The sequence below is a fragment of the Homo sapiens genome, chromosome 6 (assembly GCF_000001405.40).
Source record: "Homo sapiens chromosome 6, GRCh38.p14 Primary Assembly".
Classification (NCBI taxonomy): domain Eukaryota; kingdom Metazoa; phylum Chordata; class Mammalia; order Primates; family Hominidae; genus Homo; species Homo sapiens.
The window spans coordinates 163,401,470-163,422,289 of record NC_000006.12 but is presented as its reverse complement, the minus strand read 5'-3'; the positions used below and the strand labels follow the sequence as shown (position 1 = coordinate 163,422,289).

Genomic DNA, 20,820 nt, shown 5'->3' with positions numbered 1-20,820 from the left:
GCAACTTTATGAACATAATTTATTTTGTTAGACTTGATAGGATTGCCGGATTTTCAAACTAGAGTTTCCGCATCAAGAAACTGAAGACGAAAACATTAAGTGCAGTCCTTTTCTTGCTAATTGTAAGAATTCTAGATAAATCACTTCTGCAATATATTTTTTAAAAATTCATCACAGATTTTCAAACACTGTTACTGCTAAAGCACAGTAATAAACAGTTTAGAGCTTGGTGGCTCACGCCTGTAATCCCAGCACTTTGGGAGGCCGAGGCGGTCAGATCATGGGGTCAAGAGCCGAGGCGGTCAGATCATGGGGTCAAGAGTTCAAGATCAGCCTGGCCAACATGGTGAAACCCCGTCTCTACTAAAAATACAAAAATTAGCCGGGCGTGGTGGCGGGCGCCTGTAATCCCAGCTACTCGGGAGGCTGAGGGAGGAGAACTGTTTGAACCCAGGAGGCAGAGGTTGCAGTGAGCCGAGAGCACGCCACTGCATTCCAGCCTGGGTGACAGAGCGAGACTCCAACTGAAAAAAAAAAAAGAAAAAAGAAATAAAAGAGCTTAGTTTCAGCTAAGTGAAAACTTCAATTTATCAGTTTTCTAAGTAATGGCACTGTTTAAAATTAAAAGACACACCTGTGTTTAAAAACATAGCTATTTGTGTTAAATGACAATCAGCCACATATGATTATACTCAGCTTTCTTTTAAACTAAAATCACTCAATCAAATACAGTCGTTATCCTGAACACACCAAAGCAGCACTTAGGGACAAGAAATCATTCCTATCTATTGTGCCCTGCATGGAGTACAAGAACTATATATGTGGGGACTTTTAAAAGGGTAACTAACGGGGTGGGGAGTTTACCTATATAATTCCATAAATGCCAAAATTTTCCAAGAGCTGAGATGAGCACTGGTAGTTTTTCTCTGCTTATGAATTGATACCCTTTGGTATAAGGACTGACAAGAAACTATACTATTTAAGTAAAGCAATTTTATCTTCCTAAATCTCCTTCCCAACAATGACAGTAAAGTAAAATTAAGCACCTTGGCAGCAAGTACTACAAATAACATGACATGTTTTTAAGTTGTTTTTAAGAAAACATATAAGTGCCTTTTCCTCTAAGGGCACAAAACTATCAACAATCACACAACTGCTTCATTTCTTAAAATTATTAGACAATATTTCTAATGTCACTTTCAGATTTTCATTTTTTTTTAAACCATGTGCACATACCCTATCTTTGAGAAACTAGAAATCAAAAAAGGAGGTAAGATGTCAACATGTTTAATTCAACAAACATCTGAGAAGTGTATGCCAGGCTCTAAGGTAGGCACCTTCAAGAAAGTAATTTTAAGAGGGCAGACAGGTAATAATATTCCAATGCTAACTATAATGATCACTCCATAGAAGGTAGTACCTAACACAGACTGGGGTTATAAACAAATTTCTTAACAGTCCCACTAAGATAACAAACTATATTCACCATAAAAGTTTATTGTTAGTTGTGATTTTCTGTTAAGTAAAAAATATAACTGTAAAACACGAAATAATCTAGCTATTGTGGGCCCAAAACTTTTTTAAAGGGGTATAAATATTCCCTAAAAGTTATCATTAAGGGTAAACAACACATTATTGCACTTAAAATTCACATTAAGCTGTCTTAATGTCAAACACAGGAGGGACTGGAGAAAAAAATGAAGTCCCGTTGATCATGTAAATAAAAAGCTGGTATATATCTGTGTGACCTCCTAACATAGGCCCACTCACCACTCCCCATCCCTTGGCCTTAAAATAGAACCTTGGATATGTTCATAACAGCTGACATACCAATAGCAGAAAGTTGCTCAGTGGGCTGCCTTTTAAGTTATCAACAAACAAAAACCAACAATGTCACAGCATTTTCCATCTCCAACAGAGAAGGGCAAGTTTTGCTTACAACTGCAACATCAAACAAATAAATCAAACAAATGTATTAGCTACACCGAATTTCTCAAGTAAATTAAACTGTAGTTCCAGTTTATAAAAAGTTGCTCCTATGATCACACTGGTGTAATTCCCTTGATATAAAAACCAAACCAAACCATAAAAAAAAAAAAGGAAAGAAAAAAACCACCAAAAAAAAAAAAAAAAAAGAAAAGAAAAGAAAAGCCCTTACATGTCTAAGTATATTGGCCTCAAAAAAAGAATCTGAATCATGCTTCGGTGAAGGCCAGGTCAAAGCATGAGGGTTTTATTATACTTCACTTCTTTCATCACAGAAATCTATTTCCCTGAAAAAGGAAACCAAAAACCATTTGCTCTTATGGGAAACTGACCAATTTCAATCAGCTCCAGGACAGCGACAGTGACTAGTGAAGCATTAACAGAAATATAATGTGCATAAAGCATTTAAGAAGTCAAATTAACTTGATTTAACTTGACATTCTCAGTCATTTAAGAAAAAGTGTTCATCCCAAAATACACTCGTAAATGTGACTAGCAAAGAGACCTATTTCTATCAACTCAACTGTGTTACAGTCGGATACAACTTTTACTACAAAACATGTAAACTGGATACAGTTTCCAAAGGAATCACGTTCCACCTACAGGGGAATTTAGCTTTAAAAGTACAGAATGAATGTTTAATAAATGCCCCATAATGATACAACTGATCTTTTCCGTGACTGCCAATATATAGCTGCTGACACCTCCTGGGTGAGAAAAGATAATGGAAAGAAGTGATTATAAATAGTAGCTTCCTTCTTGCTACAACTAATTCAAGGACTGTGTACAAAAGCAATATCTTAGTTTCTAAAGAACAGATTATTTCACCTTAAAATCTGTTTGTTACAGATGATGATTACTGACAACAGTAATTGCTTCTTCAGACAAAAAGAAAACCTTTTTGTAAGAAATCTGTATAGCAAGAGTCCTCTCAATACCAACCACCATATAATTCTTAAGTCAAGGCTTTTGTAAATGAATTCTCAGGAAAAAAAAAAATTATGGTAAGAAAACCTTATGATACATCCAATAACAGAGGCAGAAGAAGTGAAAATAAACATTAACATGAAAAAATAGCAACTATTTAAGCAAGTTTTAACGAAATATTTTTACTCATATATTTAAAGGAGAGGGAGCAGGCAGGGTATAAACTAAACTGAGGTCAGACAGAAAGTTTACTGTAAACACAAAAAGACCATCAGAAAATGAAAATATATTTTCAAATCAGTAATACGGCATTCTAATCCATCTGCTCTCTTTTTCTGAGCCACACACTAATTTTTCTGATATCCACGATAAAAAGATTGACTGTTCTTCCTCATTACACATTTTTTATTTCCCTATCAGCAGCTTTAAGCCCACCTCCACCTAAAAAATTGAAAACTCAAAATCAGCTTTTAAAATACTAGTTCTCCATTTTCCCCTAATACAGGATTGTTAAGTCTAATAGACCGTACTCTTCACCTTCTCGATTCTAAATTACAAAACTTTATTATAACAATTTGCATTCAACTACTGTTGTTTCATTCTCATGACAAGAAAAGTCTGTTTTTTTAAAAACCATATATTAACTGCTCTAAGGGTTCAGTTGAAAACGTCTCTCTAAAGGTAGAGCAGTTTAAGACCTAGGTTTTATGTGTAATCCTATAATCATCTCTATCTTCAATAAAAGGTTTCAAACTCAAGTTTATGTCCTTTATATTTTATGATGGGCCCAACCTAAAATGTATTCACAACTTTAAAAAACAACCGTGTTGAAGATACTTCAGTGGAAGAGCTGGCACACACACCCCCACCACCAGCAACAGCAAAAAACAAAACAAAACAAAAACAAGCAGTAAAACAAAAGGACTGTCCACAGTCAAGATACAGACTAAAGGTTAACTTGGCAAGGAATTAAAATACTCATTCTAAAACATCCAAGTCTTCATCAACTGGGAAAACCAGCACACTTAATCCTCAAATTTGTAACTAGCCAAATGGAAATTCTTAGGCTGACAAGCATATTTTTAAAAAGCTTATTCTTTGAAAAATATTTTAAAATAAAAAATTTAAAATCTCATTTAAAATTCCTAATTATCAGAAAATACATCTACTCTAAGCACGATGTTAACTTCATCAAACCAATCACTAAAGTAAAATTTTTACTAAATTTTATCTAAATTTAAAAGTAATTTTTCAGCCAAGCATTATAGGCAAAAAAAAAAAAGTAATGCCTAACCAGAAACAAAAGTCATGATCAATTTGTTTTGGACAATGACAAACCACAAAGGGGTAAAGCACAAGATGCCAAATTTCACAATTAAATCATCCAGAAAAAAAAATGTGATGGACTTCAGAAACCAATATTTTTCTTAAGTCAAATTAAGTTTATAACAAGGCTAACAATTACAGGAAGCCGCTTATTCCACACTAAGGAATAGCCCTTTTTCCTGCATGTTTGTACTGGTCTGATAAAAAACAATCAAACTTCCTCGTCATTATATTGCCCATTTTAAACATACTATATGCCACACAGAAGCAATCTTTACACTGGGGAATTGACAAGGCTAAAACTAAAGATAGCAAGACAAGAGATGGAGTAAACCACATTAAAAGGGGAAGGGGAAACAAACATTATCTAGGAGATATCATAGTGGTCTCTTACATTTAAAACGCAAACGAGTACTATTTCCAACCAGAGAGAAATAAGCCTTTGTCAGAGACAATGACATAATTGAAATTTCTGGATTTGAAAGATTAAAAATTATTAAAGCCTAAGGTTGGAAACTTGATAACAAGGAATCAGCTCTAAATTTAGAGATTTTAGATCAACATAAAAGCACAAGAAGCCTTTTAAAACTAAAGAACGCAAAAGTATGCAGCTTTTTAAATAGTATACATAAGGTGAAAGTATTTTCAAACTTTTTTTTGGAATCTCCTATAGTCTTTGAATTCGACATTTCAGGAATGCAATTTAATTTTAATTAACCCTAAATATTGCCAAGGCCTATTTTCATTTTATCGTCGATAAAGGATTCCTTCTAAACAACTGCACTCAAGAAAACAAACTTTCACCAGAAATTGTTACTAATACTACTAAAACTTTAACTTAACCAAAATATGCCAAGGAGAAGACAGTAAGAGTGTTATTTTGAAACGTCATAAAGTTGTGCCAATAATTTTAAGGAAAGTATTTTCAATGTTCGAAAACACTATATAAACACATTATGACAAATCAAATAATCTATAACTTAAGTTTCAACTAAATTTAATATAGGTCAGTCAGATTGAGTATGTTACACATTTTGTTCCAACCATTTCCATGGTTAAAAAATAACTGGCGCCCCTTAGCGCTCACATTTGGAAATACTCAATTTAAGAGTTCCAGCATTTTTTTTTTTTTTTTGACATTCCAGAAAGTTTTCTGCCTCCACAATCTTTCAAATGCCAACACAAATAGGAAAAGCAGAACCCCTTAAAGGGACAGCTCAGGTTTTCTCTGGAGCAACTTGAAATTAACAGATTTGCTGTTCCAACAGCGGAAAATGCCCATTTCAACGTTGGTGAGTGCTGTATGTTTAACATACGGAAGCAAAACGACGAGAAAGCCGTAACACCTAACCATTTTCTACTTTTAAGTTGTTTCTATGACTTTCAAGACAACAGAACTCCTGGGATTTTTCTTTAACCATTTTTTATCATGGAAACATTTCCGGCCTTTTGTTCTCTAGTGACATTCCAACTCCCCAAGCTTCAAACTCCTGTTCCCCGACTCTATTTTTAAAATCTCGAAATTCTTGCGAAAAATCTAAACTCCATTGTTCATCTCTTCAACCTGTAGTTTTCAGTTTCCTTTACACAGTCCTCCGGTGGTGCCTCTAAGCAGGAAAAAAAAACAAACAAACTCCTGGCCAGTCGATTTTCGAAACAGACTTTTTTTGTGGTCTTTTTTTTCTCTAGGCGTCCACAGAAACCCACAGCTACTAGAAATTAATACTTCAGGTACTGCTATGAGAACTTCTTAAGGAAATTCCAAAGTTGGTCAACATTAATCTTCTTGTCATTCTTCACTCCCCACAGCGCTCCATACAGCTTTTTGGAAACTTTGGCTCAATTTTATTTCGCCCTTTCCAAACGTCTCGAAACCCTGTCCTACAAACTCAGGCGGCTGCGTCCCCGGGAGCAAACCCTCCGCCCAAGTTCTTCTAACTCAGGCTGCGCTCCGATCTGTCATCGCGTTATTTCGCACTCCACCCCCCCCCCCCCCACCCCCGAAAAGTGAAGTTCAACTCCCTAACAGTTCTCGCTTCCCCAAACAAAAGGGAAAAAAGTGCTTTTCGCCGTCACTTAGTCCTCCTTGTCGGCTACGCCAGCATAATTTCGGTCTCCTACGGAATTTCTTTAAACTAACGAGCCCCACACTGACTTCCACTTAGTATTGAACAGCTGCACCAACTCCCCAACCACGAAACCCCGCTTTAGTCCTCACGGGAGGGGAGAGCTCCCGAACGCGGGGCGGTGGGGGTCCGCGCAGAGCAGGCTCGGGAGGCCGAGCGGAGGAGCGGGGCCCGCGCCGGGCACACGCGTCCTCCAGGCCGGCGGCGCGGCGTGGGCCTGCTCTCGGGAGGGCTCGGCGAGGACCACCGAGTCCGCGCAGCCCCCGCCGACCTCTCGGAAATGTGACCGCCGAAGCTAGAGGGGCCGCAGGGCTCACCCCGCAGCCCTCCGCAACGCGCCAACTTGGACGCCAGCGGCGCGGGGTCCCGGCCGGGCAGGGGGCGTCCGGCACCGGCGGGTCCACCCCGGCCCGCCCGCCCGCCGCAAGCCCGGCCCGGCACCTCCTTTGTGCGCCCTCCTGGCCTCCCAGTCCCCCCGGCGCTCGGTCCCGCCCGGCCGTGACCTTCCCGCCCTCCCCACCATCCCAAGCGGGGAAAGGGGCCGCCCCGGCGGGGGTCGGGCCGGGGCCGGGGCCCTGGAGACGCTCACCTTCGTCCAGCAGCCGCTCGAGGTGGTTGAAGATCCCGCAGAAGTTGGGCAGGCTGCTCATGAGCTTCTTGTCGTTCATCAGCTGCATCAGGTAATCTGGGGTGGGCTTCGGCTTCTCCTTCGTTTCCATTTCCCCGACCATATTCCAGGCTCCGCAGCTCACTCCGCCCGCCGCCGCCGCCGCCGCCGCCGGAGAGGAGGGAGGGGCGGGGGCGAGCCCCGGCCGCGGGCCGCTCGGGACCCGGCGTCCCGCTCCGCGCCGGCTCCCGCTCTGGCTCCCGCGCCGAGCCCCGGGGCGGCCGGCACCGCGCGCTCGCCCGCCCCCCGCAGGCACTTTCCGCCCGGGCCCGACGCGCTCCCAGCCGCCGCCGCTCTCGGCCGCCCGGCTCGGCGCGTCCCTCACGAGGCCGGCGGGCGGGCGGGAGGCGGGTCTCGGCTGGCCGAGTGCGGGCGCGGGGCGCGGGCTGCTGGCGCCGGACGAGGAGGAGCCGGGGCCGCCGCTCGCTCGGCTGGTCGAGCCCGCTCAGCGCCGCCGCCGCCTGTGCCGCGGGCTCGGGGGGTCTCTCTGGGCTGGTCCCCGCCGCGGCGCCTCTGCCGCTGCCGCCGCGCTCCGACTGCGCTCCTCCTCTTCCTCCTCCTCCTTCTCCTCCTCCTCCTCCTCACTCACTTGGCGGCGGAGTTCGCCTCAGTTCAGGCGGCGCTGCCAGCGGCGGCGGCAGCAGCGGCGGCGGCGGGGGGAGGGGCAGCGGCGCGGGGAGGGCCGGGGGCGGGCGGCGGGCGGGGCCGCGCAGGGCGGCCGTTAGCGGGTCCCGGCCGGCGCGCTCCCGCTGCCTGCTGCCCGCCGCCCCGCGACCGGGGCAGCCGCCGGCGCCGCGCCCCCTCCTCCCTGCCTCCCCGGCGGGGCGGGCGACGGGGGCAACGGGAGTGTGACGGACTGCGGCGCTCGGCGGGCCTGGGCGCAAGGACTGGGTCGCCGCCGTGCGGGGCGCCCGGGGCGGGTGGGTGTGGGCTGCGGGGCCGACGGCCGCGGGGGGGGCGCGGGGCTTTCCACGGCACGGGGCGGGTGGGGCTGCGGGCGCGGTCGGGGCTGGCGCGGCAGGCGAGAGGAATTCCAGCGGGACGCGCCAGCGCTGCCTCCGCCTCGCCTCCCGTTACTATAGTTTTTTCAGAACCTCTTATCCACCCCGCAGAAGAGAAATTTTTTTTTAACGTCCTGTTGCTTCACGGGGGACTTTCGGGGTGGGCATCACGTGGCCCGACACGTAGCCGTGGGGCTCCAGAGCGCGTGCGCGCGTCGAGCCCGGTCGCCACGCCCCTTCCGAGGGTCGCTCCGCCCCCGTCGGGCCCCGCGAGCGCGCGGTGGGGGAGGGGAGGGCCCCGGAGCGCGCCTGCGTGGGGCGGGGGCGGCAGCCGACTAGGGGCTGGGTCTGGCCGTTTAGGGCCGGGTCTTGGCCCGTCGCCCACGGTGCGGAGGGCTGGTGGGCTTTCCTTGGCCGTCGGGCCCGCCACGGCGCGGGTCTTGGCTGCGGGGCGGAGGTGGGGCGGGAGAGCCGAGGATAAGAGTTTGAGGCTTTTCGAGGCGCGTGCCGCGGCGTCCGCCTCTGCGGGACTCTGCGCCGGGCGCCCTCGGCCGGCGCGCCCGGCTCCCGCTTTGTCGCCGAGGGAAGCACGCGCGACGCCCCTCCCGTCGCCGCCGTGGCTTCTTTCGGTGTTCGTGATTTGCTGAGAGGCTGGAAAGCAGCACGGCGGAGAGGAGCCTTGCACTCGCCAGGCGGGAAGCCTGCGCGGACACGCGTGCGCACCCACGGGGCGGCGGGCGGGCGTGGGGGGTCCGGGCCACGCGGGCGACGCGCCTCTAGGGAAGCGATCTTGTTGCACCTTCCCGTTATTCTGAAAGCAAATCGTAGCCAGACCCGAGCGCAGCGGCTTAGCAAATAATAAGGGGAGCGTCAGTCGTGCTCGAAATGCTTCCTTCGCGATGGCGTCAGTGTTCCGTGAGGGAATGAAGCCGCAGTAGGAAATAAAGAGGCTGTGCGCGTAGTCTGAAAAGCAGAAGTCAACATTTTTACAGATGAAGAAAGAATACGGAGGCAAGAGGTCTTTCTCTGCAGTTTGGTGGATTTCCAACATTTAGACTTGTTTGGAAGAATTTCCTCAGCTGCACCAATGAAGTCCTTGATCTATAGAAGTCGGCAGTCCCTAAATCTACGTCTGCATTTTGTTGCAAATCCTTTATAACATTCCATTAAAATAATGCAGAGTTATTTAATATCCAGTTGGCCATCGTGAGAGTAATTCGCGGCTGAGATTTTGTTAATCATTCTGTCTTCTGACTTAACAGTGAACGTAGGTGATTTTTTTTGTAAAATGTTGCTTCACATGAATTGTGAGAATCACCTCTAAGTTTGAATTGTACTGAAGGCACTATAAGAATTTCAAATGAACGCTGAGTAGCCAGTAGCCTTCTGGCCTTTTCGTTTAACAAGCACAGAGTTCGTTTTTAAAATTAAGTTACTTTGACAGAGGAAATGTAATAGCCTTGGTAGACAACATTAAAAATGTAACTGTCAGATGTTTTAAAGTCTCCAACAGCCGTATCTGTTTTAGAGCCATAGAATATTTACTTACTGAATTGCCTGTTTAAAGATGAACTTTCTAAATGCAGGGAATAGTAACTTGCAAAAAAGCTATGGTCTCTAAGTAATGAAGGCTGTTTCAGTACCTAGAAAAATCAAAATCAAGGTTTTGATGCTGCTAGTGTAAAAGATGCAATCCCCTTCTTAATGGCCTGCTTATTTATTAAGCTCCTAGGCACTATGCTGAATGCCCTACATGCATATCTCGTTTAATCATCAGTACAACTTGGGCTTAGGTTAGACTGTTATCCCCATTTTACAAATAAGGGGAAACCCAAGAAAGATGAAGTTAAGTAACTTGCCCAAGAATATAGCTAGTGAGTCCTGTGTCTGGGATTATAATCCAATTATATTTTATTCTAAAGCTTTTTTTTTTTTTTTTGCTTTTTTTCCTTGCCCTATCCTTTAAATCAGGTTGAATTTTATGACAATATTCCACCATTTTTGACCCATAGAAATGGCAGTGTCATAAGGCTCAACCACTTAAACCAGATTAAAGAACAATGATAGGCAATTTTCATTTCCTATGTATTAAATCACTTACGGTTACAGCATTTGATAATAGCTACTGTGTGTTAATTTTCTTTTTTTTGAAACAGAATTTCGCTCTTGTCACCCAGGCTGGAGTGCAATGGCGCGATCTCGGCTCACTGCAACCTCTGCCTCCCCGGTTCAAGTGATTCTCCTGCCCCAGCCTCCCGAGCAGCTGGGATTACAGGCATGCGCCACCACGCCTAGCTAATTTTGTATTTTTAGTAGAGACGGGGGTTTCTCCATGTTGGTCAGGCTGGTCTCGAACTCCCGACCTCAGGTGATCCGCCCCCCTCAACCTCCCAAAGTGCTGGGATTACAGGCGTGAGCCACGTGCCTGGCAGGTTACCTTTTCAAATCTATGTAGATCACCTCATTTCCTGACAGTCCCTCAATGGTTTCTTATCTCAAAAAAAAAAAAAAAAAAAAGGAAAGAAAGAAAAAATCCGAAGAGCTTACCAAGTCCTGCAAGACGACAGGTGTGCCCCTGGTGCATCACTGACCTTATGTCCTTCTCCTCCCACAGCCCACTTGGCTGCACCCCCGTGGAATCCGTCTGGATCCTTAAATATTCCAAGCATGCTTACCCTCCCCAGGACTCTGCCCTTGGTGTTTGCTCTCCTCGGAAAGCTTTTCCCCATACATCGGCGACCCCTGCCCCTATTTATCTTTAGAAGGTGTCCCTTAACACCCTATGTAAAATGGCGCCTTTGTGCACGCAAACACTTCCTCCCTTCTTCCATCTGCTTACCCCAGGTTCTTTTCATACCATTTGTTTCCACGTAACAATGGGTCAACTCGTTTGCCACTGGCATCAACATTGTAAGCTCCATGAGAAAAAGGAGTTTCTTCTATTAGGAATTTCCAACACCTAGATCAGCATATGGTACACGTAGGCACTTATTAAATATATGTCCAAAAGAAGTATTAAGTACTTGTTATGGACCAGAAGCTCTGCAAAACCCTTATCTTCATTGTTTATTTTCATCCTTACAGCCAATATTTGAGGTAGGCAGGAAGAGCCATATTTCAGAGATGAGAGGGCTGATGCTTAGGAGGAGTAAGTAGCTGCAGAGGGTCGGGTGCGGTGTTTGTGCCAGTAATCCCAGCATTTTGGGAGGCCAAGACAGGTGGATCACTTGAGCCCGGGATTTTGAAACCAGTCTAGGCAACATAGTGAGACCCTATCTCTCTAGAAAATACAAAAATTAACAGAGTCTGGTGTCACATACCTGTAGACCCAGCTACTTGGGAGATTGAGGTGGGAGGATCAGGGAGGCAGAGGTTGCAGTGAGCTGTGATCACACCATTGCACTCCAGCCTGGGCAACAGAGCAAGATCCCGTCTCAAAAAAAAAAATGTAGAAAGACTAACTTTGTAATAATTACATTATTACAAAAATGTTATCTTAATACAGTATTGAAAATAAATTACAACATGTAGTGAGTATATATACAGAATGAGCCTCCAGTTGAAGATCCCTATAATAGGTTTTTTCACTGTGAAAAATTGTCATCTAATATGTTGACACTAAAAATGGTTCCACATTCTAACATCAGTAATTAACCAGGCGTGGAAACATATTTTCTATTCTGTTAAATTTGATTGGCTCTATTTGCTTATTGCTATTCTTAACATTTAAAATAGAAATTTGCAGTATTCCAAACCTTTCTTTATCACCATAGAGTTCTCGAAAGAACTATAATGTTCCTTGGATATAAGATTTAGGGTTTTATGGCTTTTTGTCCCAGTGTTCTTTTTAAAAATCTTAGTCTTTAGATTTTCCTAAAAGGAATTGGGGCATTCTTGGTATCTTCGCAAAATAATTGTTTATTGTCTTAATAGATTTGAGCATCCTTTTAAATTACGAGATGGCGCTTTTTTTTTTTTTTTTTACTTTTTAAAATTTTTTTTACTTTTAAATTGTGAGATGGCTTATCAGGTACTATTTAAAAGATTGAAAATGAAACATTTCAAATGTGAATATCTTAAATATTTCCAGTACCTGTTATATGTAAATGCATATCATTAACCCTAAGGCATTTACAGGCTGAGCTGGGAGTTAATAGCATGTGCAGGTACATTTAAAAAGTTAACTAATAACTGCCACGTAAAGGCTAAAGACAAAAATGCTGTGAAAATACCGGTGAGCACCAACATTGCCTGCCCGGAAGCCATTGTAAGACCACACCGGGGAGGTGGATTTGATCTCGAGGCGGAGCAAAGAGTGTTGGGAGACAGCAATGACAGAACTTGGGAAGTGGAAAAGTACGAGGTGTTAGGGTAGGAGTTTCCACAGAGAGTATTTGATGCCAGATTTTGGTTGGCCTTGAACATCAAACTAGAGTGTTTGTAGGGGAAGAGCCTTGGGATTTGTGTGTGTGTTGGGATGGGGAGTGGGCGGAGATGGCGGCGGGGGCGGGGGGCGGTCAGGGGGGAGGTGGTCTCCCTAGGTTGTTGCCCAGGCTGATCTCAAAAGGAATTTTTTTTTAATATAAAGAAATGAACAAATTAGATAGTAACATGGATTCCTCTCAGTGAACCTTATTTATATCTACTAGTACAAATACAACATTTGTAAAATGAAAGGCATTGCTCTTCACAGCTGTTCTAATGGTAACTGTGCTGCTTTTTTAAGCCACTGACATGATCATTCCAGATGTAGTACTAACATTTAGCTTAAACTACTGCACAACGGTTAAACGGTAACTGACAGTGTAAGGTTTCTACTCATTTGACCCTAAATGAAACTTTAGAGGTAAAAACATTCTCAGCCAGGATGCAGGTCCTTGTGCTATATAATCCAACCTTCATTCCATATTTAAACAGAAACCACCTAAAAAATAACTGTCTGTCAATCACAGGAAGGTGAGAGTGAGTTACAAATGCATTTTGTTTTGATCTACTCCCAGACTGATGCTTGGTTTTATGATTGCAAGACAATTTCACAGGTGCTCTCCTGGATTGGGTTGATTGTTATTTTATTTTATTTTTTTCCTTCAGATTTGGGACCCTTTAGGATGCATCTGTGATTAGATTTTTTTTAACATACTAAATGGATATGTTGGATTTATAGTCTATGAGTTAGTTTTAAAAGTTAATATGGGTGACCATTTTACCAACAAGGGGAATGACTATTCATGTCCCAGACATTTAATCAAATGCCATTATCCTTTACTAAAATTTAACTTAGAGCCTAAATGTACTTTTCCAGTAATTTCTGTATATTAATGCGTTCTTAACTGAGTTCCCAGTGAGACCAAGGAAAGACCAAAAAAAAGACTGACATTTATAGAGTCCCGATCAACCTTCGGGCACTTCAGTTACTGAGTATGCAGCAACTCTGAGTTAATAATTATCCTCATTTTACCGCTGAAGAAGCAGAGGCTGAGAGGGTTAACTACATAATGTGACTCATGTGGCAGCTACTGAATTCAGGACAGGATTCAAGGCAGACCTTCGGAGTCCTGAGTGATGGAAGGCACACTGTTGACCTTTCTGTAAGTTAAACTTGGGTACCTCAGGAGCTGTACTTTAATTAAAATACCTGTGGCGTTTGAGTCTCTTTTTTCCAGTATTCTAGCTGATGGTGTATAGAGAAAGGATTGCTGTGCTAGGTATAAAAAGCCTTATTCGTTCTATGCTAATAAGTTGTGTAGCACTGCATAAGTAACCCTGAATCCGAGTTGAACTAAGTGATCTCCAAAGTCATTCGAAGGTTTAAAATTCTGTGATTCTAAATAAAATATCCTCACTAAGATTAGCAAATTGACCTTGTTGTAATTTTATTTCTGCACCCAGGATAACCCTGTATGCAGATGGATGGTCATGTAATAGCAATAAGAAATTAATATAAAAACCTTTAGGTGTCCAATTTTGCACAACTTGTTGAAATAAGTAATAAATAAATAATATGGATATATATTATATATTATGTATATTATATATAATATATATAAAGAACTATAAATTCTTTGTGTGTGTGTGTGTGTATATATATATATATATATATATATACACACACACACACTAAGAATTTTTATTTCCCTTAGGCAACACATTTGGCTGAAAATGTTACATTTTTGTAATTTCCAAAGAATTAAAATCAAATCTTTCTTATTTTTTTAAACATACTACAACTTAATAGAAAGTGGAGCACTAAAAAATTTCATCTAGAGCTCTTGATGAAGAAACTTACTACAAGTAGAGCATAAAAATTCCTTAAAGGTAGAATTCAGGTCTTATTCCTCTTTCTGCTCTTAAAATGCTTTACAAGTAGTCTACTTTAAATAATTACTTCTTTGAATGAACAAAAGAAAAAAAGGAAAAAACACAGAGACATACTTGGACTCTAAGGAGAGGAAGCAGCCATGTAAGCTGCTCATAGCATCTGAAAATCCAAAAGATTTCTTTGCCTTCAATGACAGGTAGTGTTTGATGCTGTGTGTTCATATTTTGCAATGTAATTCAGTGATTCTTGCAAAGTATTTTGGAGTGTAAGCGATGTCTTACTCAGCAGGAAACAGCATTTGTGGCAACTAGGCCAGGGAATCCATAGTCCTCTGAATCTATAACAGGTTAGAAAATGAGCGCCTCTGGTTTTAACATTGAAGAGTTTGTATAGCAATGATATTTTATCAGAATTGTTCACTACTTATTCAGATATAAGATTAAAAGCAGGCAGGGCACAGTGGCTCATGCCTGTAATCCCAGCACTTTGGGAGGCTGAGTCAGGTAGGTCACTTGAGGTCAGGAGTTTGAGACCAGCCTGGCCAATATGGCGAAACCCCATCTCTACCAAAAAATACAAAAATTAGCCAGGTGTGGTGGCGTACGCCTATAATCCCAGCTACTAGGGAAGCTGAGGCACAAGAATGGCTTGAACCCAGGAGATGGAGGTTGCAGTGAGCTGAGCTCACACCACTGCACTCCAGCCTGGGCAACAGAGCAAGATCCTGTCTCAAAAAAAAAAAAAAAAAGATTAAAAGCAATTATTTGTAGCACTGAGATTCAAGCAGTACACACCAGTACAGCCTTTTCAGTTTTTAAATTTTGAAAGATTCCCACACCACTCAGTGAGCAGTCACTGCTCTGAGCCATACTACCCAGGCCCTCTTCCGGAGCCCCGGGACCCCCCTAACCCAGCAACCAAAGGCAAGATGCCTGGCACCCTGACCCCATCAGGGCTGGCAGACACTGATCATTTATGCCTGTGCTGGACCAACTGTTACAACTTTTTGATTATTACTTCTGTTTGTATGGGCTTCTTTGCATATTTAGAAAATTATTTTATTTCATATCTTTATGTCCATTAATCCTGGGCTTATGAGTTTTTACTAAATGTAATGAAAGTGGATAGTTTTTTGTCTAAGATACATGTAGGTTCTTTGGGTATATATCCAAATTTAGAAAGGTTTATACAAATGACATTTATCCAGTGGCAATGAAATACCAAAGGCTTCAGTTTTGCTTTCTATTTTCCATAAATAATATGTTAAAAAAACAGGTTGCTGCCAGAGATGAAAAGTGATTCATTCTCCTCCTTATGATAAACTCTGTATTTCACACAAAGAAATATCTCTGTTCTGTTCTTCCCCAGTCCTGTGTAGCCATTTGCGTTCCTTTGCTGAGCTGTACAAGTAATACTGATGATGCTAGCATTTATTATTTCCTAGTTATTCTGTCTAAGCCAATCTGTAAAATGTGTTACAGTTACATTTTATAGATCTTCAAGGACCACCAACTTGATTAACTGACATTAATGACACTGTATTTTTCTCAGTATCCATTGGTAGTGAGCATCCTTTTGAGTTGGAAAGAAAATGTGGCATAGTGAAATGAGCAGCTGTTTTTATTTAACAGTTTTAAAATGCGTGCCCTATATTGATAGTGTGAGCTGGGAATTAAGCAGCCGTGAGAAACTGAAAGCTAAAGCTGTGATCGACAGAGGGACGTGGCCCTGCTCCTGCCTCTGTCCTTTCTGTGTCCAGGTGAAGCTGTTAAAGGAGCAGAAAGAATGTGAGGGGATCAGGAACGCAAACTTAAATGTGAATCAGGAAGGAGAAGAAGGGCTTGCATGCGAGGAGTTCAAAGACAGTCTTGTAAACTCTCCCATCAGCTGACCTGCCAGCAGCGAGCCGCCTTCTCCTCCAGTTCCTCTCTGGGTGCCTGGCTGTTGGTGGCAGAGGCAGCAGGCCCTGCTCTGTGCCAGGTCCTTGACCTCTGTAGACCGACAGCCAGACTTGACCTTCTCCTCCCCCTCAGCTCACCAGATTTCAGCTTTTCAGTCAGTCCCATGCCTGATTTCATGAAGGCACACTGGCACTTCATCAGATGGCCCCAGCCAGGCCCTGCCTCTGTGTTTGGGAAGAGGGAGCAGACACAAGTCTCAGACTGTAAGTGGCAGGCTGGCCTGGCGTCAGGGCCACTCAGCACCCAGGCCGGTGCGGGAAGGAGGCCTTTCATCTCTAGGCTCAGACAACTGGTTTGGGGCCTTTTAATAAGTACTTCCTTCTGCACTGAAATATGAAATAATAATACCTTAGCCCCACAGCATAACTATGTGCCAAGACTATAGAAACGCTTCTCACAGATAATGCAGAGGAACGGTCCTGAAACAAGGACGGAAAGTCCTGAAACATTTTTCCTGAAGAATTTGCTGGTCCTCCGAGGCAGCTGCAGAGCAGGAGGATCCAGAAAAGTCACTGAAGAGGTCCCAGGTTCAAATCTCGACCCTGTCACTTGCTAAAAGCAACGTAAACTCTCTGCACCTCTCTTTTCTTGCCTGTAAGGTAAGGTGGTGCAGCATAAGGATGTTAGGATGGCATGGGTGCCTCACTGCATGCCTGGGACATGGTAAGCTTTCAATAAATAGCATCATTTTAAGAATTGAAAAGGAGGCCTGGATAGGGCTCCAGTTCGTACACACGTATTTTGGGATGTGTGCAATCTCTCTACGTTGAAATTTTCTCCACAAAGCTCAAAAGTATTCAGTCATCAGTTTTCTGCTGCTTCCTATTGCACAAACCGTTTCCTGTTCCCAGGACTGCTGACACTAGGACGTAAAGGGACAAACAGCCTGATGAAAAGGAGCCTCAGTCCTGGGCTGGCCCCATTGTCAGCAGCAACAACACTTGCTCTAAAGCTGGCCAGGGGTCGCCACCAAGACCCAGTGTTGAAAGCCACTGTGTCATTGCAGGACCAAGTGGAAAAGGAGAGGCTGCCTCCCTCCTGCGCCTGCCCTAGAAACAGTGGGCCTGGCAGTTAGTGGAGGGAGCTTAGGAGATCCCGTCTTCCGGAAGGTCCAGGAGCTCACCACGCCTGTTAGATTCCATGATGATATTCTAGCACAGAGAGTTGTGGGCTAACCCAGGGTTTAAACTGTGATGTCCAAGCAACTGTTGGGCTGCATTATGCCAGCTCAAGGGCTTTCTCCAATCCCTGCCCCGAGGTGGCCACCGCAGCAGTGTAGGAGAGTGAAGGAGCCAGAAGGGGGTCTGCCCCACCTGCCCACTCAGCAAACCATGCTTTTGGCTTACTTCACTAGATACTTGGAAAGCAATAGCAACAAGCTTTAATCAGATACCATGGGAAAACATAGCCCTTATTTTGAATCACCTAAAATCTGAAAGTGGAGAGACAAAAATATACGTACTTCACTAGTGGCTTCTGCAAGTTTGTTTTACTAGATCATGCAGGAAGCAGCTAGACAGCAGTGGCTCCTTCTACCTTCCCTGCACGTGCCTTGAAATCAGCTTCATCTCTCCTGGTAACCCCCTAGAAATTTCGCTTCAACGAGATTAGGTCCTTAAAATTATGACTTCTGCACCTCCTAGTCTTGTCACCACCTCCCAGCCCTGGGCCACACCTGTAGCCTCCAGAAAACTTACCAATGGAGTCAGGACTTTCTCTCAGTGGTTTTCAAGGTAACAAAGTGGCTTTCAGAGCCTCATCTCCAAATGAAGGCCAGGACACACACAATTAAATCAAGGTAGTTGAAAGGAAAAAGCTTTCAAATAAACCTTTCTGGGATTCAATTATGAGTCTTGCTTCACCGCGAATCACATACCCCATTGTAATACTAATCTTGAACAAAATTTCTATTTGCATCATATGTTTTCTTGCTCACCAAGAGGGCGACACATTACCAATAGATACCTGGGGACGTGCTTCAGTCTGAACTATAATTGAATCCCTGACATTATAAGGAACTTGGTAAGAATTTTCCTCTTGAAATCTATTTTTACAAAAGTGACTTATTGTGTACCTTGTGTGCAGTGATAATGCACTAAGTAAAGGTAATGCCAGAGACCACAGCAAAAACTTAGATGATCTGTTTTCACACCAGATTTCTCCGAAGCAAGATCACCATCACAGCACTGAGCTGCCGTTCACTTAGTAAGCCACACAAATCTGAATTCAGCACAAAGCCTTCCCTCTTCGTGCTTCCCCCGCCTCAAGCCTCAAGTTCAGCAGCTCCTGCCTCAGCCCTCTCCCATTCTCTCTGTCCTCATCGTGGTCTGTGGGTCCTTTCCCATCCTCCCCACAGCCTCTCCATGCAGAGTTTCTGAGGGGCCCTGAGTTACGCTAAACTTGAAACCTGCTGGTGTGATGTGATAGAATTTCTTATGTATAATATAACATATGCATATGAGTGCAACATGAACACCCCATAACCTTGTTCTTGATGTCTACTGTCGAACTTCCTGGATGTAAGACTTTCCTAGCATCTTAATACAGCTTTTTAAAAAATTGCCAACTTACCGGCTGGGCGTGATGGTTCACACCTGTAATCCCAGCCCTTTGGGAGGCCAAGGCAGGTGGATCACTTGAGGTCAGGAGTTCGAGACCAGCCTGGCCAACATGGCAAAACCCATCTCTACTACAAATACAAAAATTAGCTGGGCGTGGGTGGCGGGTGCCTGTAATCACAGCTGCTCAGGAAGCTAAGACAGGAGAATCGTTTGAACCAAGTAGGTGGTGGCTGCAGTGAGCCGAGATCACGCCACTGCACTCTAGCCTGAGCAACAGAGCGAGGCCTCATCTCAAAAAAAAAAATATTGCTAACATACAATTTCTCATTGTTATTTACCCTTCATTTGACATTGTATTCCATAGTCTCAACTTTATCTTTACAGCATTCATTCAAGAAAGGAAATAGGGATTACATGAGGAAAAAGAGAGCAAAGGAAAAAATTTCGATAAAGGAAATTGTCCTCCCTTCCCCCCCACCAAAAAAAAATTCTCCTTTGCTGGAAAGTGAACCTAAAAGCAGTTTTGCTTTTCAAAAGTTTTCTAAACACACACACATACGCATACACACACACACACGCATACACACACACACGCACACACGCACACAGTATTTCATGGCCTGTGCACCAGTTCTTGCCCTGCCGGCTCAAGGTCTAGCTTGTTTTTCCACCCCATAGTGTCAGGCAGGTCCAGCCCTCCTTTATGTCCTAGAGTTCGTGTTGGTGCCAGGCAGCTTCAGATTCTGTGCCCCATTTGAAATCATTTGCAAGATCTGAATTGTTAAAGAAAATACCCTGGTTCTGAGTAATGCTAACCACTGGAAAATATTAGAAAACATTTCAAAATAAGAGGGTCCTTGGATCTGTTATTTATTTCTTATTGGAATTGAATTAAATTACTGGTCGACATCACAAAACTAAAAATCTTTGTCATTCACCATATATTTTTCCCCTTTAAGAATCAACAGGAAGCCCCAGAGCTGGGGAGAAACCTTCCTACTAAGTGAACTTCACCGTTTGCTCTACCTGGGCCTGACCTGCACGGTAACCAGAAGCTTCCTGGGCCCAGCAGTTTCAACCAACTATTTCAGGAACCCGTGCTCACCCTTGGCAATAACAAGCCTCAGGTGATTTCAGCTGTCAAGTGTCTCTGATCCCCAGATTCTTACAAGGGAGCTTTGCAAAGCTTGTAGTCTCTCCTTCCTAATTTAATTTAAACTGCACTTGTGATAAAGAGGTAAGTGCGCGGCTTCTCCCTAATGCTACCACGAATTTCTATATGACACAGATCCTCCTTGGGGCTAAGAGTGAAGTGCTGGGAGTCTAAAAAGAACTGTGTCCATCCCCTGTGTCCTATGGCGTCTCCAGGGAGCTGCCATCCACCCAGCCCCCTCCCACCTGTCTCTTTTCTCCTCGGCCAGCCCCCAGCATGGAGGTGCCTACTGCACCCAGTGTCTCTGCCAGCCTCTTCCAGGGCCCACTGCAGAGCCAGGCACAGCTTCCCCAATCTCTCCTCATCCCTGCTGCCTCCAAAACAAACACAAATTAGAAAAAGGACATAGGAGTTTTGGTTATAGAAAGGTCAAAGAGTTTTAAAAATTACCGACATTGGGAAAATTACAAGGTTGCTAAAGAATCTGAAAAAACTACCAGCAGTGGTTCCCAGAGCTTGACCTCATTTATGTTTCAATGGAGACCTGGGTCAACTGCTTTGAATATTTCCGAAGCATTCTTATTCATCTTTTGTGTAGCTAGAGGTTGGTCTGCGCACGTTTGCTGTTACCGAGCTGTGCCTAGCTCTTGGGTCCAGGCCCAATCCCTGACCCTTTAACAAAGAAGACACTTCTCCTTCTCCCCTACAAAGGCCTCTCCCTTGGGCTTTAGGCTACTTGTTTTGACCTTCAGTTTGCCACCAGGGTCCATCATGGAGACCTCTTGGTTGAGGT

At 44.0% G+C, this 20,820-nt stretch overlaps 2 protein-coding genes and 1 long non-coding RNA gene across 11 annotated transcripts in view, besides 10 other annotated features; 1 reads left to right on the top strand and 2 right to left on the bottom strand.

The window, feature by feature from the left end:
- Window positions 1-7,572, bottom strand: part of QKI (QKI, KH domain containing RNA binding) — a 163,875-nt gene extending 156,303 nt beyond the window's left edge. For all 9 annotated transcript variants that reach the window (NM_206855.3, NM_206854.3, NM_206853.3 and 6 more), the window contains exon 1: window positions 6,955-7,572. In NM_206855.3, coding sequence (NP_996737.1) covers window positions 6,955-7,096 — 142 coding nt within the window. In that variant the 5' untranslated portion in view covers window positions 7,097-7,572. The remainder of the gene's footprint in view (window positions 1-6,954) is intronic.
- Window positions 6,554-6,743: a silencer, noted in NCBI's record as "silent region_17772". NCBI's record gives its function as "represses an Ori minimal core promoter by ATAC-STARR-seq in GM12878 lymphoblastoid cells {active_cell/tissue: GM12878}" and the evidence as "EXISTENCE:reporter gene assay evidence [ECO:0000049][PMID:35858748]".
- Window positions 6,944-6,993: a silencer, noted in NCBI's record as "silent region_17771". NCBI's record gives its function as "represses an Ori minimal core promoter by ATAC-STARR-seq in GM12878 lymphoblastoid cells {active_cell/tissue: GM12878}" and the evidence as "EXISTENCE:reporter gene assay evidence [ECO:0000049][PMID:35858748]".
- Window positions 7,014-7,667: an enhancer, noted in NCBI's record as "H3K27ac hESC enhancer chr6:163835655-163836308 (GRCh37/hg19 assembly coordinates)". NCBI's record gives its function as "activates a minimal SCP1, AML or CMV promoter by ChIP-STARR-seq in primed H9 embryonic stem cells {active_cell/tissue: H9 hESC(primed)}" and the evidence as "EXISTENCE:reporter gene assay evidence [ECO:0000049][PMID:30033119]".
- Window positions 7,014-8,933: a biological region, named in NCBI's record as "H3K27ac hESC enhancers GRCh37_chr6:163835002-163835654 and GRCh37_chr6:163835655-163836308".
- On the bottom strand, window positions 7,114-10,709 carry LOC124901234 (basic proline-rich protein-like). Its single transcript, XM_047419614.1, has 4 exons — window positions 10,581-10,709; window positions 8,205-9,676; window positions 7,622-8,041; window positions 7,114-7,325 (listed from the first exon to the last, which is right to left on the bottom strand). Exons 2-4 carry the CDS (start codon window positions 9,082-9,084, stop codon window positions 7,114-7,116), a joined length of 1,512 nt encoding a protein of 503 aa, XP_047275570.1. The 5' UTR covers window positions 9,085-9,676; window positions 10,581-10,709.
- Window positions 7,244-8,063: a silencer, noted in NCBI's record as "silent region_17770". NCBI's record gives its function as "represses an Ori minimal core promoter by ATAC-STARR-seq in GM12878 lymphoblastoid cells {active_cell/tissue: GM12878}" and the evidence as "EXISTENCE:reporter gene assay evidence [ECO:0000049][PMID:35858748]".
- Window positions 7,668-8,320: an enhancer, noted in NCBI's record as "H3K27ac hESC enhancer chr6:163835002-163835654 (GRCh37/hg19 assembly coordinates)". NCBI's record gives its function as "activates a minimal SCP1, AML or CMV promoter by ChIP-STARR-seq in primed H9 embryonic stem cells {active_cell/tissue: H9 hESC(primed)}" and the evidence as "EXISTENCE:reporter gene assay evidence [ECO:0000049][PMID:30033119]".
- Window positions 8,154-8,933: a silencer, noted in NCBI's record as "silent region_17769". NCBI's record gives its function as "represses an Ori minimal core promoter by ATAC-STARR-seq in GM12878 lymphoblastoid cells {active_cell/tissue: GM12878}" and the evidence as "EXISTENCE:reporter gene assay evidence [ECO:0000049][PMID:35858748]".
- CAHM (colon adenocarcinoma hypermethylated) lies at window positions 8,340-9,225 on the top strand. The gene has a single exon (NR_037593.1). It is a non-coding gene; the product is annotated as a colon adenocarcinoma hypermethylated (long non-coding RNA).
- Window positions 15,926-16,115: an enhancer, noted in NCBI's record as "active region_25418". NCBI's record gives its function as "activates an Ori minimal core promoter by ATAC-STARR-seq in GM12878 lymphoblastoid cells {active_cell/tissue: GM12878}" and the evidence as "EXISTENCE:reporter gene assay evidence [ECO:0000049][PMID:35858748]".
- Window positions 16,346-16,525: an enhancer, noted in NCBI's record as "active region_25417". NCBI's record gives its function as "activates an Ori minimal core promoter by ATAC-STARR-seq in GM12878 lymphoblastoid cells {active_cell/tissue: GM12878}" and the evidence as "EXISTENCE:reporter gene assay evidence [ECO:0000049][PMID:35858748]".
- Window positions 16,536-16,605: an enhancer, noted in NCBI's record as "active region_25416". NCBI's record gives its function as "activates an Ori minimal core promoter by ATAC-STARR-seq in GM12878 lymphoblastoid cells {active_cell/tissue: GM12878}" and the evidence as "EXISTENCE:reporter gene assay evidence [ECO:0000049][PMID:35858748]".

Excerpts from the sequence above, each read along its gene's own strand:
- LOC124901234 (XM_047419614.1), bottom strand. The coding sequence starts at position 9,084 with ATGTTGGAAATCCACCAAACTGCAGAGAAAGACCTCTTGCCTCCGTAT. Across the intron at positions 8,042-8,204 it reads ACGGCTACGTGTCGGGCCAC|CCCCGACCGCGCCCGCAGCC; the intron begins GTGATGCCCACC and ends CTGCCGCGCCAG. Across the intron at positions 7,326-7,621 it reads GAGGCGAACTCCGCCGCCAA|CGGCGGCGGCTGGGAGCGCG; the intron begins GTGAGTGAGGAG and ends GGCGGCCGAGAG.